The sequence below is a fragment of the Homo sapiens genome, chromosome 12 (assembly GCF_000001405.40).
Source record: "Homo sapiens chromosome 12, GRCh38.p14 Primary Assembly".
NCBI classification, from domain to species: Eukaryota; Metazoa; Chordata; class Mammalia; order Primates; family Hominidae; genus Homo; species Homo sapiens.
Window position 1 is genome coordinate 66115229 of NC_000012.12, and position 19250 is coordinate 66134478.

The 19250-nt window shown below is 40.6% G+C and overlaps 1 protein-coding gene and 1 long non-coding RNA gene across 2 annotated transcripts, besides 2 other annotated features; one reads left to right on the forward strand and one right to left on the reverse strand.

Annotated features, from left to right (window-relative positions):
• Positions 1-1326: 1326 nt before the first annotated feature.
• Positions 1327-15522, reverse strand: LLPH (LLP homolog, long-term synaptic facilitation factor). The gene is made up of 3 exons (NM_032338.4): positions 15477-15522; positions 13668-13885; positions 1327-8790 (listed from the first exon to the last, which is right to left on the reverse strand). Exons 2-3 carry the CDS (start codon positions 13876-13878, stop codon positions 8612-8614), a joined length of 390 nt encoding a protein of 129 aa, NP_115714.1. The 5' UTR covers positions 13879-13885; positions 15477-15522; the 3' UTR covers positions 1327-8611.
• Positions 15246-15395: an enhancer, noted in NCBI's record as "active region_6611". NCBI's record gives its function as "activates an Ori minimal core promoter by ATAC-STARR-seq in GM12878 lymphoblastoid cells {active_cell/tissue: GM12878}" and the evidence as "EXISTENCE:reporter gene assay evidence [ECO:0000049][PMID:35858748]".
• Positions 15436-15545: an enhancer, noted in NCBI's record as "active region_6612". NCBI's record gives its function as "activates an Ori minimal core promoter by ATAC-STARR-seq in GM12878 lymphoblastoid cells {active_cell/tissue: GM12878}" and the evidence as "EXISTENCE:reporter gene assay evidence [ECO:0000049][PMID:35858748]".
• On the forward strand, positions 15523-19221 carry LLPH-DT (LLPH divergent transcript). The gene is made up of 2 exons (NR_125724.1): positions 15523-15747; positions 18824-19221. It is a non-coding gene; the product is annotated as an LLPH divergent transcript (long non-coding RNA).
• Positions 19222-19250: the final 29 nt, after the last annotated feature.

Genomic DNA, 19250 nt, shown 5'->3' on the forward strand with positions numbered 1-19250 from the left:
GGCTAAATATCAAATCCCTTCCTGGCACTGTGAGTGTGTACACTGACAAGGGTGGAAAATTAAGCATAGATCCGTTTCCTCATCCATTGGTCACACCTTAGCATTTCCTTTCAAGTAAGAATTACATGGAAAGGACCTCCAGACCTAGGGGTCCTGTAGCACTTTGGTTCTAATGACTAAAGCAGACTCTTCAGTTCTGACCTTGTAAACATCATAACCTGGGGTGTGGGTGTCAGAAAGGAGAAAAAAGGCCTCGGAGCCATTGGGAAGAATTACATTTAAGCCATCTCAATTAAATGGGCATTAATCTCTCTCCCTGCCCCTTCTATTTCTTTCTCGCATGCTCCATTTGTCCTCTAGAGACAACTCAAACGACCTCTTTTCAATCCACACCTGGCTTTAAATAACACTCACATTCAGGAAGTTCTTTTTTACATTTAACCCAAATCCTTTCTGCTAAGTTAATACCTATTTCCTCAGTGGAGATTTGGAACAGCTGGTTCCCATTCTCTTTATGGCAACTCTTCTCAAAGATTCATAGGCTTATAAAGGATGTCCATACCAACCCCACGTAAGGCATACAGCTCCCTTAAGCATTTTCCAATAATATTTTCCTATGCATTTATCAATAATCAATTGCCCAGTCTGTAGAGATCTGACTCATTGAGCAAATTTCTACAGCTCAAGGAAGACAATATCCAGTAACTCAAGGGGCAAAAGGGCCTAAAGGCAATCACTTTTTACTTGAATTATTAAATACCTGCTTTTGTGAAGACACTGCTAATTTGAAGTTTGGGACAGAACAAAGACTAAAACTGAAGCAGAGTGTGTATGTCTAAGGAAGGAAGCATGTGGGAATGACCAATTCTTAGCCAACTGCCTACAGCTCTGCTCAAGAACATTATCTCTTTGTGAGAGCAAGGAGAGGCATTTTAGAATTTTAACAAATAGCACCCAATGTTGGTCTCTCAATAAGATTTGTAACTGTCTTCTCCTGATCACATATCTCAAACCATTTCTTCTCTAAAGCATTAAAAAAAATATATCCAGAATAATACAAAAGATGACTTTTAGGAGCAAACAACATATGTTCTTGAACATCTGTGCTTTTCCCATGCAATTTTTTTTCCATTATTGTCAAGAGAAAACTAGTTTAGTGGAAAGTTTCTCCACAGAGGCACAAGTCTGTAATACTCCCTGTTGATTACATATAAAAGACACAAAATATTACTTTCTTAAAAGCAGCTTCAACCACTGCTGTACAAAGCAGTTCTCTGATGGAACAGATTTATGAAGTAACAGCTGAAAGGTATGCAGATCACAAGATACATGACAAATGTACTTTATTACATGGATCAGAAATACCACATGTACTAACAGTTGCTGTACAATGATACACAACACCCAACTAAGACTATTTAAAGGTTTTGCTGATATTGAAAACTATAAAGACACAATGTGAGAGTAAGAAAGTGTTTCATAAGATAGCATAATGCCAAGACAATTCATCGCTTTAGGATATTAAATACATTCCGCATATTAAAAACTTAATGTATTATAAAGCTATGCCATTCTTTAAATGAAAACTTGAAGGACTTTACTCCATTCATTTTTCTTTACAGGACTATTGCAGTACCATTCATTGTTTAAAGCAGATGTTTATAACATTTTTCCATACTTTAAAGTGGAACTTAATGGAACGAATACCAGACCTAACATTAACAAAATTAAAGAGATTTCATATTTTATTTCCACCAAAAAGATACTTAAGTCTACAGTTATGTAGTACCAAAAAACTATGTAGAGCAAAACAAGCATGATACATTTCAAACATGACAATTTATTACGAGGCATTTTTTTTTGGCTGAAAAGAACTTTAACAGCTTTCAACCCAAATTCCAAGAACAGTTGGCCCTCTGTATCTATGAATTCTGCATTTGGGGCTTCGTCCTGAGATAAAAAATATTCAAAAGAAAACTACAGTTGCATCTGTACTGAACATGTACCGACTTTTTTTCTTATCATTATTCCCTAAATACAGTATAACAACTATTTACATAGCATTTTCATTGTATTATAAGTAATCTAGAGATGATTTAAAGTACAGTCATGCATTGCATGATGACATTTCAGTCAATATAGGCAGTGGTCCCATAAGATTACAGTAGAGCTGAAACATTCCTATGGCCCAGTGACACTGTAGCCATCTTAACATCACAGTGCAATGCATTACTCACGTGTTTGTGGTGATGCTGGTGTAAACAAACCTACTGTGCTGTCAGTCATATAAAGGTATAGCACATACAATTATGTACAGTTCATAATACTTGATAATAATGACTACGGTTTATGGCTTTACTATACTTTTTATTTTAGAGTGTACTCCTTCTACTTAAAGAAAAAGTTGACTGTGAACAGCCTCAGGCAGGTCCTCCAGAAGGTATTGCACAAGAAGGTGTTGCTCTCATAGGAGATGGCAACTCCATGCCTGTTATTGCCCCTGAAGGCCTTGCAGTGGGACAAGCTGTGGAGGTGGAAGACAGTGTAGATGGAGGCTAATGTGTTTGTGTCTTAGTTTTTAACAAAAAAACTTAAGAAGTAAAAAAAGAAATTAAAAAATTAAAAATTGTGGAAATAGAAAAAAGCTTATAAAAATATAAAATATTTGTGTACAGTTGTACAATGTATTTGTGTTTTAAGGTAAGTGTTATGATAAAAGGGTTATACAGTTTAAAAAATTAAAACGTTTATAAGGTAAAAAAGTTACAGGAAGCTAAAGTTAATTTATTATTGAAGAAAGTTTTTTATAAGTTTATGTAGCCTAAGTGCACAGTGTATATAAAGCCTACAGCAGGCCGAGTACAGTGGCTCACGCCTGTAATCGCAGCACTTTGGGAGGCTGAGGCAGGTGGATCACCTGAGGTCAGGAGTTCAAGGCCAGCCTGACCAACATGGAGAAACCTCATCTCTACCAAAAATACAAAATTAGCCGGCCGTGGTGGTGCATGCCTGTAATCCTAGCTAGTCGGGAGGTTGAGGCAGAAGAATTGCTTGAACCCAGGAGGTGGAGGTTGAGGTGAGCTGAGATTGCGCCATTGTACTCCAGCCTGGGCAACAAGAGTGAAACTCCGTCTCAAAAAAAAAAAAAAAAAATATACAGCAGTATACAGTCATGTCTGAGGCCTTCACATTCACTCATGGCTTACTCATTGACTCACCCCAAGCACGAGTCCTCCAAGCACTATTCATAAGTGGTACAGGTGTACCATTTTTTTATCTTTTATACTGTATTTTTACTGTACCTTTTCTATGTTTAGATACACAAATACTTCCCATTGTGATACAATTGCCTACAGTACTCAGTACAGTAACTTGCTTGACCAATTTGTAGCCTAGAAGCAATAGGCTATATCACATAGCCTAAGTGTAGTAGACGATACCCTCTAGATTTGTGTAAGTACAGTCTATGATATTCACACAATGATTAACGATATTACCTAGTGACACACTTCTCAGAACACATCCCAGTCATTTAGTGACATATGACTATATATGGGAGGATGGGCATGGGTTATATGCAAATATTTCACCAGTTTATGTAAGCGATTCGAGCATCTGTGGATTTTGGTATCTGTGAAGATCCTGGCACCAATCCCCGATAGATTCTGAAGGATAACTCTACAGTGTTTGAATCCATTTTGCTACATTCCAACCAAATGCCTGTCCACCTTAGACTGACACCTCAAGGATCCCAAGGTGCCCATTTCAGCTCCCAAAATCTTGGTTAGAAGGCGCTTCCTTAAATCAAATAAAAGTCTGTCTCTCTGTAGCTTTCCATCATAGGTATTCATTCTATACTCTGGGACAGGCGGCTTGCTCACTACTTAGCAGTTGCATGACTTTGGGTAAATTTAGTTAACCTTTCAAACTGTTTTCTCATCTGAAAATAGGGATAATTAAAGTATTGATCCCACAGTGTTTTAAAGATTAAATAATATACATAAAGCATTTAAGAGAGTACGCATTCTCTAAATGTTGGCTGTTGGGTTATTTTTACTGCTTGCCTACCAAATTAAGCTTATTTGGCAACACATTGTATTTTCTCCCCTGCTCTAAAATAACTGCAAAAGACTCTTGGCATTCAACTGCGGAAAATTTAGGGTTTTGTAAGCAGGCCCAAAAGTGGCCCTGGGCCTCCTGGCTACCTGACAGTCCTCTGGAAACAGCAGAGTGACCTTTGACCTGATGTAAGTATTTAACAGTCCCACCTCACCCCTAAACATTTCCTTGTAAAATTGGTATGTGTCTACTGCAACAGTGTTTTTATTAATACATGCAGGCAAATAGAGGGAAAAAGACATATATTTTGTGTTTAGCACAAATTTGAATCACTCTGCCAGATGGCATCAGAAGTTAGTCACTTAACTAGTAAGATTAGCCAACAGCTTAGCATCTGCATTTCTATTGTAGTATTTATAAATTTGGCAATGCCTTAGATTCCTCCCAATTTTATGTTGTGGTCAGCACTTCCCTAAATTACACATTGCTGCCCCTCACCATCACCACCAGTCCATTTCAGATATTTGATTCAAGTCATTTATAGCTATTTTTCTTCTCCAACTCTTAAGCCATATTCCAGAAACACGGATCCAAATTTTGAAAATATCTGAATTTCCTAATAAGCAAATATATACTGCTGCATCCTTATTTGATGTAGCATGTGAATTACATAGTGGGAAGAGATATCTACACTAATGTGACAGTAGAAAATAGGATGTGGTCAAAACCACTACTTGATTCTACCTTAGAGCTTCAACTGCAGTTTGCATTTCTTCTCTGATTAGTACCTTGGGCAACTACTGATCATGGCCTACACCTTCCCCTTTTGGATTGGTCAGCCCATTCCTAATGAAGTGTCACCTGAGGAAATCCAGTCTGCCTTAGGCCTAGAGATTTGAGGAGGGTTCTGTACATCATTATTCTACTTAAACCTGCTCTTTATCTGATCCTGAGCCCACATGAACCCAATCTATCACAGGTTGACCCAAAAATAGGTATTCTATCCTAAAATCACCTTTCTCTCTTAGCAAGAGTTTGCACATCCTTGAGAGGCAGAATGGCATTGTAAGAGTATAGGCTCTAGAGCCACACTGCCTAAATTTGAATCCCAGATTTCAGTTTTAGTTGTATGGCCTGTGTGCCTCAGTTTCCCCATGTGTAAACAGAGATTACATTAGTACCAAACTCAGATAACATTAGTACCAAACTCATGAGATTGCTGGGCAGATTAAATGAGTTAATACTTGAAGCAGTTTTGATCATCTTTAAATTATATTTTGATTTCAGACTTAATTTCTTAAAACACAAAAAGTGTTACATTCAATTCCTAATGTGATTTAGCTCACTCAATCTAATTCCAAAATGATTTGGTGCTTAGCTTGAGCTCCATCTTGTGGCTTTACAGCAATTCTCTGGAAAATGTCAGTCAAAAAGATGACAAATTTCAAAAAAATAAGCTAATTATTTAAAAGATAAAAGGACTATGCTATACTTCTCGATTTGTAATCTTTAAAAATAAAGTGCCAAAGATGTGACCATACCCCTGCACTAATTTTGAAATGCTAGTCTAAATTTCCTGCCAATATTTGGAGGTGGGGAGAATCTTGCTGGTAGTGTTCAGGAACTCAGTGCCTTAGAGGGTACTGACAACACTGTGTCAGTAAACTTCTCTTCAGCAGTCGCCTTTCCAGAGGCCATGTGACACTTGAGAACATGATTCCCAAATATGTTTTCTGGTAATGGTGCTTTGATTTTTGATTTTGTTAACTTTCAAGTTAAATCCTGAATGGACAAACTTCATGACTGGACACAATGAAGTGAAAATCCTAACATCAGAGAGGCTCTGGATGAAAGCTCAAAGCTACTATCAACAGAATCAAATTAGAGGTTATCAGCCACAGAAAACATGAACATAACCCTGGCATTGGTCTCTACCTGACAATGCTGCCAAAATGTAAATAAGTGCCAACTGTGTAATATCACGAATGTAGACTTTTTTTTTTTTTTTTTTTGAGATGGAGTTTCGCTCTTCTTGCTCAGGCTGGAGTGCAATGGTGTGGTCTTGACTCACTGCAACCTCTGCCTCCCAGGTTCAAGCGATTCTCCTTCCTCAGCCTCCCAAGTAGCTGGGATTACAGGCACCTGCCACCATGCCCAGCTAACTTTGTATTTTTAGTAGAGACAGGGTTTCACCATGTTGGTCAGGCTGGTCTCAAACTCCTGACCTCAGGTGATCCATCTGCCTCAGCCTCCCAAATTGTTAGAATTTGGTGCCTGGCCCCCTTTTCCAAAAATCATAAAAAATGTCTACATTAGGCCGGGTGTGGTGGCTCACGCATGTAATCCCACCACTTTGGGAGGCTGGGGCAGGTGGATTACTTGAGTCCAGGAGTTTGAGACCAGCCTGGGCAACATGGCGAAACCCTGTCTCTACAAAAATACAAAAATTAGCTGGGCGTGGTGGCACCCACCTGTAGTCCCAGCTACTGGGGAGGCTGAGGTGGGAGAATCGCTTCAGCCTGGGAGGTGGAGGTTGCAGCGGAGCCACACTTGTGCCAATCACTCCAGCCTGGGTGACAGAGTGAGACCCCATCTCAAAAAAAAAAAAAAAAAAAACATAAATAATTCAGCTACTGTATTTAGGCTGATATTGTCAGTGGCTTAACTGGTTGTTTGCAATTTTTTTTATTTTATGAATAAAAATGTACATATTCACTTTTCCCTCACAAATGCTAGTGTTATTCATACCTACACCAAAGGCAACAAAGATCATGAATGACATCTTTCAATTCATATCTTTCTTAGCTGTTAAGAAATTTTAAGCATTTAAAGTTATCTACCAACTTTTCAATAAACTATTGAGAAAAATAAGAAAAGTCTACTATATTTAAACAATTCCAAGAGTTTACTGGCATCAAATTTTATAAGCTTAAATTTTCTGAAACATTTGGGTCATGTCCTCTTTATTACAATACATGTCCATGTATTGTGCCCCAATTTAGCAGTGTGCCTGGCACAAAGTTTGTGACCTCATGACCAAGTGGCCTTATTCTATTTCACATTTTACTTGAGTTCTCCTGGGAAGTTAACATCTTCTTCTAAACAGATACACAGCTCTCAGCCCTATGAGAGCAGAAATCTTATCTTATTCAATCTGTCCCAAGCATCTGGAAAGTCCCTGGCCCACATACTAGGCACTCAGTAAGTATTTGGTTGTTCCAGTTAACATATGAGATGGTTAATCTGATTATAGTGAAATTCAGAGGGAATGCTAAGTTTAGATTGCTTAACTAAAAGTAAAATAAAAATGAATTTAGCAAACTGTAGTAAGACAGATTTAACTAAAAATCATTTCTCAGAAAACTAGTTTCAAAGAGTAGACGCTAAACAGGTTTCTTTGCTGCTGGAACCCTGTAGGACTATTCTAATCCTAAACTAAAATCTTTTGTAAATCTTCAAGTATGTAGCATTTCCCAAATCGATGTGAACACAATTTATTTTTTTTAACCAAGCATCCAGAGGAAACTGATACTGAAGAACACACTCCGGGGAATGCTGCATGATACTATATTAGGCCACACAATATTAACACTAAAGAACATTAAATCAGTTTCCATGAAAAACCTGAAATGTTCTAATTTCCTAAAAAGCATACTGATTTGTATATGTTAATATTCTACCTAAAATTAAGATAAGAAAACATTTAATTGAAATCTGGTCTTCTCTAGGACTAAAAAACCTTAAGCATACATGAAAGAAAAAAAAATCAGACTTGAAGATCTACACACAAAATATCTTTTATTCTGTGGAATCAAAGCTCCACACAAGTACTTTATAAGATCCATTATTTTTTTTTTTTTTGAGACAGAGTCCTACTCCATTGCCCAGGGTGGAGTGCAGTGGGGCAATCTTGGCTCACTGCAACCTCCATCTCCTGGGTTCAAGCAATTATCCTGCCTCAGCCTCCCGAGTAGCTGGAACTACAGGTGCGCGCCCCCATGCCCGGCTAATTTTGTATTTTTAGTAGAGATGGGGTTTCACTGTATTAGCCAGGCTAGTCTCGAACTGACCTCGTGATCCACCTGCCTCGGCCTCCCAAAGTGCTGGGATTACAGGTGTGAGCCACCATGCCCAGCCCTAATGTAGTATTTTTAAATGATATGATTATACAACAACTTTCTTTAAAATCTAAGTTCACAAAAATTTGTCAGTACATCATCTGTTTTATCTCTATTGACTATAATTACCAGTTGTAAGAACAATTCTAACCATATTAATACCTGACAGAACGTTGAGGCCTGATTATAACTGGATATTGGGTAGCATCCAGTTAAAGTATCAGTAGAGCTTGGATGTATCAAAGAAAATATTTTATTCAAGTTCCCAAAACAAACTTGAGGAGTTATGCTGGGTTTGAATTGAAGAAAAAAGGCCAAGTTAAAATAGGAAAACAAATGGTTTTCATTTGGTGGCAGTTGAAATCAAAGTATACATGTGTATACATTCTAATCCGTCATCTATCCCATGTGGCATTTTCCAAGGTTTTAAGAGTCTACCAGGCCAAACCCTTTGCCACTTTCACTGCTTTTGCTTTGCTTTTCCCCTTTCTTTTCTCTCGCTTTGCCTTCAGCCTTTTTCTTTGCCTTTGGTTCATCCATATTGGGTACTGTCCATGCTGGTCTAGAAGAGTCTTTTTGTTTCTCTTAATATCAGTCTCCATTTTCATGTCATCTGCATAAAAAGATGGAAAAACTATTAACACCATGTATGAAAAAAACCACCCTGTGAAAGCATATTAATGCACTGAGAACATCAGAACATTAGAACTGAAGGTAGACCGAAAATAGAGAAGAAAAAAACTTTATAAAGAATGTTGGCATGACTGTCCTTCCTTAGAATAGTAATGTTAAATAGGAAACATTTAGGATGCATGGCTCTGAGTTAGTACATTAGTAGATATATGGTTCTGAGCACATGTGAGTTACAACAACATTTCTCATATTAAGTGATTCCTTGAGTTCAGTAAGCATACCTACACTTCTAAGGGATACACCTTAGATGTAATGAACTGATTAGGAATGACTGGCCATTTCTTAAGAACTTGAACTAAATTATAATGAACTGAGAACGAACTTCTAATGAACTCGATGGAGTAGTCAGCAGCAGGGTTGTAATGGCAGAGACAGGCACTCAACAGAGAAGACCTGGACACATCCTGGGGCTGGCATACTTTTCCTAGCTAGGTAACACCCAGAGATCCAGCTCTACTGATAGGAGACTTGGCAGGAAGCTCAGTGCAAACATGCTGTGGTACACCTATCACCTTCTCCACTGTGAAGGACATGCTCAGAGTCCCTCACTGGGACCTCCTTATCAGGATACACAAAGTCTTCTATTATCTCGACTACCTGGCATTATATTAGATATTTGCCATTGTTTCCACAGTATCTAGAATAGTGTCTGGTATATAACAGCCACTCAATAACTAGGTGTTGAATGATTATTTTAGGTGCTGTTCTAGTTTATGGGGATATAGTGGTCCATATGAACTCCTAGCCCTCACGGAGTTTACAGTGTTCTGTTGACGGGAGAATAACACAGCAAACAGAAAGAAAACCTCAGCCAGGTATAGTATCTATAGGCATTTGTAGTCTCAGCTATTCGGGAGACTGGGGTGGGAGGATCATTTGAGGCCAGGAGTTCAAGGATGTTGTGGGCTTGGTCACGCCTGTGAACAGCCACTATACTCCAGCCTGGGCAACAAAGTGAGATCCTGTCTCCCCGCAAAAAAAAGAACTGGTAGGCGCTGGTAAGAACATGTTAAGATAATGAGGTTTTTAAGCATGGCAGTGATATAAACTGATTTACCTTCTGAAAAGATCACACTGGTGGATATGTAGAAGATAAATGAGAAGGGAACAAGAGCGGAAGAGAGAAGTAAAAAGGCTCCTATAATAGTACAGGCAAGAGATGACGGCCTTCTGAATCAAGGTGAAAGCAGGAAAAAAATGGATACAGATTTCTAATGTATTTTTGGGACAATCAGTAAGACTTGCTAATGGTTTAGATGTGGGGAATAAAGGAAAGAGGAATCAAGGATGACTACTAGGTTTATGGCTTAAGAAATCAGGCAGGCAGTTGAAAGAGTAGAAATAAGGAAAAACATGAACTTGAGGGTAGAGATGAGAGCCAAATTGATAACAAATAGATTACTAAATGGGGAGACTCCCTCAGTCTCAGTCTCACCACCCTTTAGCTCCTAAAATATCTAAGAATAAGGGCATCCAGAATTCCCCAGGCAGGACATAAGATAATTTCTCTCTGGGGATGATGAGGAAAAAAAAAGACTTAACAGATTCTGATACAGGAGATCTCCGAATAAAACCTCCTGGAGCCATTCCAAATCTTCTATACATCTAGCAGTTGACAGACCCTCTCCCACACCTTGTCTCCCTCCAGCTTCCAATCATCATTGTAGTGCCACACTTTTAAATACAAACAATGACCACTGATCACCAGACATTTGAGAAAAGCTTCTAATATGAAAGAAAGAGACAAAAGTAAAGGAATGGAAGGGCTTGGGAGGGAATTCCAAGAGGAAAGACAGATAATACATACCATAAATAAAAATTTCAAAAGCAAATTGTAATTAATACCCTTAGGAGAAGATATATGCCCATTAAGAACACAGAGTTGATGACTCAAGGGGCATTTACAAAACACAAAGAACACAAAGCTATGAAAAAGGAACAGTAGGCCAGGCGCAGTGGCTCACGCCTGTAATCCCAGCACTTTGGGAGGCCGAGGCGGGTGGATCACGAGGTCAGGAGATCGAGACCATCCTGGCTAACATGGTGAAACCCCGTCTCCACTAAAAATACAAAAAATTAGCCGGGTGTGATCGCAGGCGCCTGTAGTCCCAGCTACTAGGGAGGCTGAGGCAGGAGAATGGCGCGAACCCGGGAGATGGAGCTTGCAGTGAGCCGAGATCATGCCACTGCACTCCAGCCTGGGCGACAGAGTGAGAGTTCATCTCAAAAAAAAAAAGTAAAAAAAAAAAGAAAAACTTTTAGAAATTAAAAATATAAGAGAAAACCAAGTAATAAGAACCAGAATTCAAGGTCAAGGAAATTAGAGGGTATAACAAAATAAATAGAAAACAGGAGAGAAAAGAAAACAGGATCAATCCAAAAGAATCAAGAGTGGATGTGGGCATCTGGTATCTAGAACATATAAAGAACTCTTAACAACCCGATAATAAAAAGACAAACAACGTAATTGAAAAACGAGGCAAAAGACTTGAGTAGACCTTTCTCCAAAAAGATAATACAAATGGTCAATCAGCATATGAAAAAATGTTCAGCCGGGTGTGGTGGCTCACACCTGTAATCCCAGCACTTTGGGAGGCTGAGGCAGGTGGATCACTTGAGGTCAGGAGTTCAAGACCAGCCTGGCCAACATGGTGAAACCCCAACCCTACTAAAAATGCAAAATTCAGCTGGGCATGGTGGCACACGCCTGTATTCCCAGCTACTTGGGAGTCTGAGGCAGGAGAATTGCTTGAACCTGGGAGGCAGAGGTTGTGGTGAGCCGAGATCATGCCACTGCACTCCAGCCTGGGCAACAGTAAGACTCCATCTCAAAAAAAAAAAACAAAAAACAAACAAACAAAAACCAAAAAACACTTCATTCAATGTCATTAGTCATTAGGAAACTTCAAATCAAAATTACAATGAGAATCTATTTCATACCCTCGAAGATGGCTATAATCCGAAAATGGAAAACAAGTATTAGTGAGGATGTGAAGAAACTCAAATACTCAAACACTGCAGGTGGGAATGTAAAATAGTGTGGCTGATGTGGAGAACATTAAAAAGAATTACCATATGACCCAGCAATTCCACTTATCAAACAAAACCTTGTGCACCTGAATGTTCACAGCAGCACTATTCACAACACCCATAAGGGGAAAGAAATCCAAATGCCCAGCAACCGTTGAATGGATATGAAACGTGGTACATGCAATGGACTATTATTTAGCCTTAAAAAGAAAGGAAGTACTGATATATGCTACAATGTGCGTGACCTTCAAAAGCACCATGCTAAGGGAAATAAGCCAGGCACAAAGGTCTCATTATATATGATTCCATTTATAAGAAATATTCAAAACAGGTAAATTCACACATGAAAAGAGCATATTAGTGGTTGCCAGAGGCTGGGGGTAGGAGGAGGAGAGACAGACTTCTTAATGGGTATTAAGTTTCCTTTTAGGGTGAGGAAAGTGTTTTGGAACTAGAGGTGATGGTTGCACAACATGAATGTACTAAATACCACTGAACTGTACACTTTAAAATGGTTAATTTTATGTTATGTGGATTTTGCCTTAACAACAACAAAAAAGAACCAATAGGGAGGGGTGATGTGTGTGTGAGGAAATGAAAACAGCAAGTGAAGGCAAGTGTTTCAAAAAGTTTCAAGGACAGCTGAAATAAAGCAGCAGATTGAGAGAACTTGAGATCAAGGGAGAAATTTTTCTTTCTTTCTTTTGACATTGAACATCCCAGAACACATCTATGCTGTTGGCAATGACCCAGTGGAGGAGACTGATAAGGCAGATGCATGAGTACAACCCCTGAGAATGTTAACGGTGGAGAGGATTCAGAACACAAGTGGAGAAACTGGCCTTGGAGAGAACATTAATAAAAAAGGGAAAACAGACTATACAACATTTGAATTCTTATAGACTTGGGTAGTGGAAAGATGAGGATATTTCTTGGTTGGCCCCTTTTTCTCACAGAAGTTGAAGTAAAATGCTTTTTGTAATTTTTATTCATACAGAGTGGGAGAAGGATGAAATGGGAAGAAGAAAAAGTTAAAAACAGCCATTTTTAAAGGGAAAAAACCCCCTAAGGTTGGGAGATTGAGAAATACTGCTCTTTTCCTTGGGCATAAGACATCAAATACATGTATTTCTATTTTAAAGTCTGGGTATTGCAAATACTTAATTTAGTTTGCTGCCAAATTGGTGCATTAAATGTGCAAAAAGCAGCATTATATATATATCCTCCAACTTCATGATTAAGACACAAAGGTTCCTAGAATCTGTCAAAATGAAATAGTGAAACCCTGTGATTTTCAGGATAATAGTATAAGGGCATAGGACTCATAGAATGGGAATTAGATCTTACAAAGAGTAAAATGAAGACCTATGCTGCCTAGGCCCTGAGTGAACTGTGTACCCTTCCAACCAGAGTATGCCTAGATTTGTCTACTCCTGTAGAACTGTTTATTCCTGAGACATGGAGGCTATTGTATAAGCACCAAAGACCCACTCTAAATAATCCAAAACATATGTATATACATGAACAGGCTTGACAGAATTTTTTTTGTTTTTAAATGAAGCGCAGAGGGGCTGGGCACTGTGGTTCATGCCTGTAACCCAGTGCTTTGGAAGGCTGAGGTGGGAAGAATCCGCTTCAGCTCAGGAATTCAAGGCTGCAGGAAGCTATAATCACACCACTGCACTCTAGCCTAGGTGACAGAGGAAGGAGACCCTGCCTCAAAAAAAAAAAAAAAAAAAGAGAAAGAAAAAGGAGAAGCACACTCACCTTTTTCATCTTTTACCTCACATTGCATTTTCTCTTGGCAATGTTTGGGTTTGGGTACCACCACAGTTGCTATCTCTTGAACATCTTTCATTAAAACATCACCGTCTAGTTTGAGAATACTTTTAAGCCTGCTGGCCTCCTTTGGGGCATTCTTTTTTCTCTTTTCAGCACGCATCTTTCTTTTCCACTTACTCCGTAAGCTTTTAGCCATGTTTTACCTGAAGTTAACAAAAACACACATTCAAAAGCAAATCTTTAATATAAAAAAGAAAACAGGCAAATCCTTAGAAAACCAGGCCAACAGGTATCTCTACAAAACAAGTGAAAAGTAAAACTCTTCAATCTGTTCACTTTTTAGGACTTAACATGCAACTTATATGAAGATCAACATGGTACATACACAGTCACTAAATAACAAGATATCAAATCAAACTTGTGGTCATAAGCAAACTACAAATCAAACCAATTCTGAAAGCACCTTGCATGTCTTTTTTCTTTTTTTTTTTTTGAGACAGAGTCTTGTTCTGTGTCCCAGGCTGGAGTGCAGTGGCGCGATCTCAGCTCACTGCAACCTCCACCTCTCAGGTTCACGCCATTCTCCTGCCTCAGCCTCCCGAGCAGCTGGGACTACAGGCGCCCGCCACCACGCCTGGCTAATTTTTTGTATTTTTAGTAGAGACGGGTTTTCACCGTGTTAGCCAGGATAGTCTCGATCTCCTGACATTGTGATCCGCCCGCCTCGGCCTCCCAAAGTGCTGGGATTACAGGCTTGAGCCACCGCGCCCGGCTGAATTTCTTTACAAAATACAGAAATTTAATTTCCCCAGAATGCAACAGCGTCATCACCTTACATTTATGCAACAGCTTACAAATTACAAATGATTTTTATAAACACTTCACCTCATCTTCATTATCCATCCTCTCAAGCCAACTTAACGACTGTAAACTTATCTATTCCTACTCTTGTTTTCTTTCCACTCAGTTCCGCCCTAAATCCTCCACAAGGTGCTCAGTGTGATCTTTTAAAAAAGCATTCACTGCCTTTCTTCGAGTTCTTTAAAGACCTCCTCCCTCATATATATTCAAGATCTACAAGGTCATTTGTGATCTGTCCCCTGCCTCCTTCAACTCTATTTCATTTCATTCTCCATCCCCATCCCCGCAGGCACCAACTACGTCTGTAAAGAGTCCAAACTATCTCTACGTCAGTGCCTTCATATTTGCTGTCCCTATGCCTGGCAACTGCTCTTCTCAAGGCTTGCTCCTTCATTCGCTACCTCAGAAAGGACTCCTCTGACCTCCGTAAGCTCCCTTCCCTGCTTATTAAGTGTTACAACCTGAAACCATTGTTTTCTGTCACGCCCCCCGACCCTCTCCCCAGACTGTAGACTCCACGAAGGTAGAGGGAAAGGTCTTGTTCACTGCTGAATCGCACACTTTTTGCATACTTGTTGAACGAACCACTAACATTTTTTGAACGCCGGCAATCACAGTCATTCCGCTCCCTTGTCTACATAACTCAACCCTTGCGAGGGGCTAGGAAAGCGGGCGGCAAACAACCTTGAGGGCCGAAGTTAACTTCAGCGGGAGTGAACGACAGGGGTGGGCTCCACTTTATCCAGTGCACTCGGAAGCCGGAGGGCCCCCACCAAAAAGAGCAAGGGGAACCCTCGCCCTCAACAAGGCCTGCATCTCCGGACTGGAGCTCAAGTATAGCCCAGCGAGTGTCAAGAAACGAAATTCTCCAAGGGTGGCGGAATCAAGCCCCAAGTCCCATGTGTCACTGGACCGGTGAGGAACCGAACTCACCTGAGAAACGAACACCCACACCTCACGCTCACGCCGACCGGAAGTCTTTGCACTTCCGTCTTCCGGGCGGAGGCCACCCGGGGCGGACGCATTGCACGCCGGGAGACAAAATGTCTCAAGAAGCCTTGAGAGGCGGGATTTTGGAACCCGGGCGCTGACGAGCTTCCGCCATTGGTGTGATCGCGGACCTAGAAACTTGGTCCGTCCCATACAGGTGTAGAAGTCGGATTTGGAGAATGCTGACGGGTGTCCGGTCAAGGTTAGGCCCCAGGTAGGTCCGCTTTCCGGACGTGGGCAGGGTAGCCCCGAGACTAACCTATGGAGTGAACCTGGCCAGGGGACCCTACTTGTCAGATAGGGAGCTCCGAGCCGACCTTTAGATCTGACCTCAGCGTTTACATGATACTCATGTATTTCCTTAGATCAAGTCAGCCTAGATCAGGTGTTCTTCCAGAGGCCGTATTGAGATCATTTTTATTTGCAGCCTGTGCATTTTCTCATCTCGGGTGATGGCCTCACAGATGTACACATATGTAAAACCGTATCAAACTGCACACTTTAAATATGTGCAACTTATTGCATGTCAGTTATACTCAAAGCGGTTACCAAAAACAGAAAACAAGCTTTTCCTACCCCAGAGAAGAATTTAAAGGGTAAAATGATCAAAGGATTTCAGTTCTATCAATGTTTACCTGTCTGATCACTTACGTATCAGACACAATGCTAAGCCTAGGACGATTGTCTTAGCTCACGAATAACACTTACTGTACAACTATTTCTACTGGCATAGGCTTTGGAACCATATAGGTCTGTGTTGTACTCTTGCTTCCAACACTTGTGAACGATATGGGTGAGTAATTAATGTCATAAGGGCCTGAATTTCCTTGTCCCTAAAGTGAACATAATACAACCTAATTGATGCTGTAAGAGTTCAACAAATGGTACCCTTTTTACATTATAGTTTCAAAAGTATAGCTACACAGTACTATTTGTAAGCAATGTTTCTAGAGATTTACGACATATACCCAAAAAACATGTCTTTAATGATGGCCTGGTAAACTCCTGCTGGTTGCCAGAAAAAGGGGTTCTGAGGCAATCTATGGGTACCTTTTTTCTTTAAATTTGTGTCCTTTATGAAACCATGCATAGTATGGAAATTACTGAATTCAGAATATAGCAAGGTTAAAGAGGCTGAAAAAAACCTAGAACATTTGATATAAAAAAAGGAAGCATGCCTAAGAAACCTGGTTTATTTAAATGAGATTTCGTTCTTATAAAGCAAGTGAATTTCTGTTTTACAAGTTAACCATATACTGTACCTCATCTTTCAAATGAGAAGTTAGCTACCTCACCCAAAAATATAAGTGCACATTGCATTTTAGAGAAAACTTATATTCTGATAGTCCATATTTACTGTATCTTGTTTAACATACCAGGACAAGACTTTTGAATAGGCACTTGGCACCAGAAAAAATAATTTACCTATTATGAAAATGTCATGTTGTTAAAATACCATGCCATGATTTAGCATTACAAGTGCTTTAAACAGCTGAGTAAAACACCCTTTTACTCCTTTTTACTTATGTCCCCTCACCAGTTATATAAAAGCAGTTCTAGAAAAGTGGCCTTAGTATATTTAAAAGTCTAATTCATTCCTTCATTCATGCCTTTGAATATGCACTCTATTATAGGCACTATGCTGAATTTGCAAAGATGAAGGAAACTAAACTACTGTTTTTGGGAAACTTTATCTCCTAATGGACAAACAAGGCTTAAGGGTCCAACTAAACATTGCAGTGGCTCATCACAGAGCTGGAAGGAGCCTATATATAGAACTAGAGGCACAGTGGGTGGCCCTGAATACCTTACAGGAAGCAGACTGATTTTCTCATCCAAAAGGCATGCTACATGATGCAGAACAGTCAGTGGGGCCCCTGCAGTCAGGCCTCTCCCATGGAATCCCTGATCTGCACAATCAGTAAGGAACAGGAAGACTTCTGGGATTCAGATAGTGACCCCATGTTGCCCATTCCCTAGATAATGGGGACTTCAAGACAAAGCTCTAGAAAAATGAAAGGAAAAAGCAAAAAGTATCTAAGTCCTTAGCTGCTCCAAAAAAAAGGCCTGCAGCTGCAGGCTGTTGACCACTAATCCCTGGAAATGCATCAAGTAGACTGAAGCTAGGTCTGAGAAGAAATCAAGGCAGGTGTATACGGCCTACTGCATCTCTTTTCCCAAATTACGTTCAAGAAATACAGAAGTTCTCAGATATTGCTCTTTCCTCATTTTCCTCCTACCTCTTAGCTGTTCTTCCTATGGCCCTTGCACACTGAGTTGCCTGTTGCTCTGTCCAAGTCCTGCTAATTCCATGTTCTTTTTTTTTTTGAGACGGAGTCTCACTTCGTCACCAGGCTGGAGTGCAGTGGCACGATCCTGGCTCACTGCAACCTCTGCCTCCTGGATTCAAGTGATTCTTCTGGCTCAGCCTCCTGAGTAGCTGGGATTACAGGCGTGCGCCAACACGCCCAGCTAATTTTGTATATTTAGTAGAGACGGGGTTTCACCGTGTTAGCCAGGCTGATCTCGAACTCCCAACCTCAGGTGATCTGCCCGCCTCGGTCTCCCAAAGTGCTGGGATTACAGGTATGAGCCACCATGCCCAGCCCTAATTCCACTTTCTATTAATATTTCTGAAGTCTGTGTATTTTCACCTTTACTTAATGCAATGCTTTAAAATGGTCGAGGTATATTCCCTACCTAGAAGAACTCATACTTATACACAGTGGGACACATACACGGACTTACATACCACATAAAATTCATTGACAGAACACAGGAATAAACCAATGGTTGATTTATAAAATGTAATATTTTGTACCAAAGGTTTTCAAACTTCTTGGTCTTGGGATTCCTTTACACGCTTATTATATTGATCTTATCAGAAATTAAAACAATTTTTTTTGGAAAATTTAAGTCATTTAGAAAGGATAAACTTACTACATGTTAACATTTTTATGGAAAATAACTATATTTTCTAAATAAAAAATAATTTAGTGAAAAGAATGGCATTGTTTTACATTTTAAAAATGTCAGATCTACTTTTGCTTATACAGAATCTTTAGTCACAATCAGTCCATTCCACCTTTGAACTGAAAATGGTATTAATAGCGTGCAAAAATGTAAGGGGGCCTCTCCCTCTCCCTCTCCCTCTCCGTCTCCCTCTCCCTCTCCCTCTCCCTCTCCCTCTCACTCTCCCCACGGTCTCCCTCTCATGCGGAGCCGAAGCTGGACTGTACTGCTGCCATCTCGGCTCACTGCAACCTCCCTGCCTGATTCTCCTGCCTCAGCCTGCCGAGTGCCTGCGATTGCAGGCACGCGCCGCCACACCTGACTGGTCTTGGTGGAGACGGGGTTTCGCTGTGTTGGCCGGGCCGGTCTCCAGCCCCTGACCGCGAGTGATCCGCCAGCCTTGGCCTCCCGAGGTGCCAGGATTGCAGACGGAGTCTCGTTCACTCAGTGCTCAATGGTGCCCAGACTGGAGTGCAGTGGCGTGATCTCGGCTCGCTACGGCCTACACCTCCCAGCCGCCTGCCTTGGCCTCCCACGGTGCCGAGATTGCAGCCTCTGCCCGGCCGCCACCCCGTCTGGGAAGTGAGGAGCGTCTCTGCCTGGCTGCCCATCGTCTGGGATGTGAGGAGCCTCTCTGCCTGGCTGCCCAGTCTGGAAAGTGAGGAGCGTCTGCGCCCGGCCGCCATCCCATCTAGGAAGTGAGGA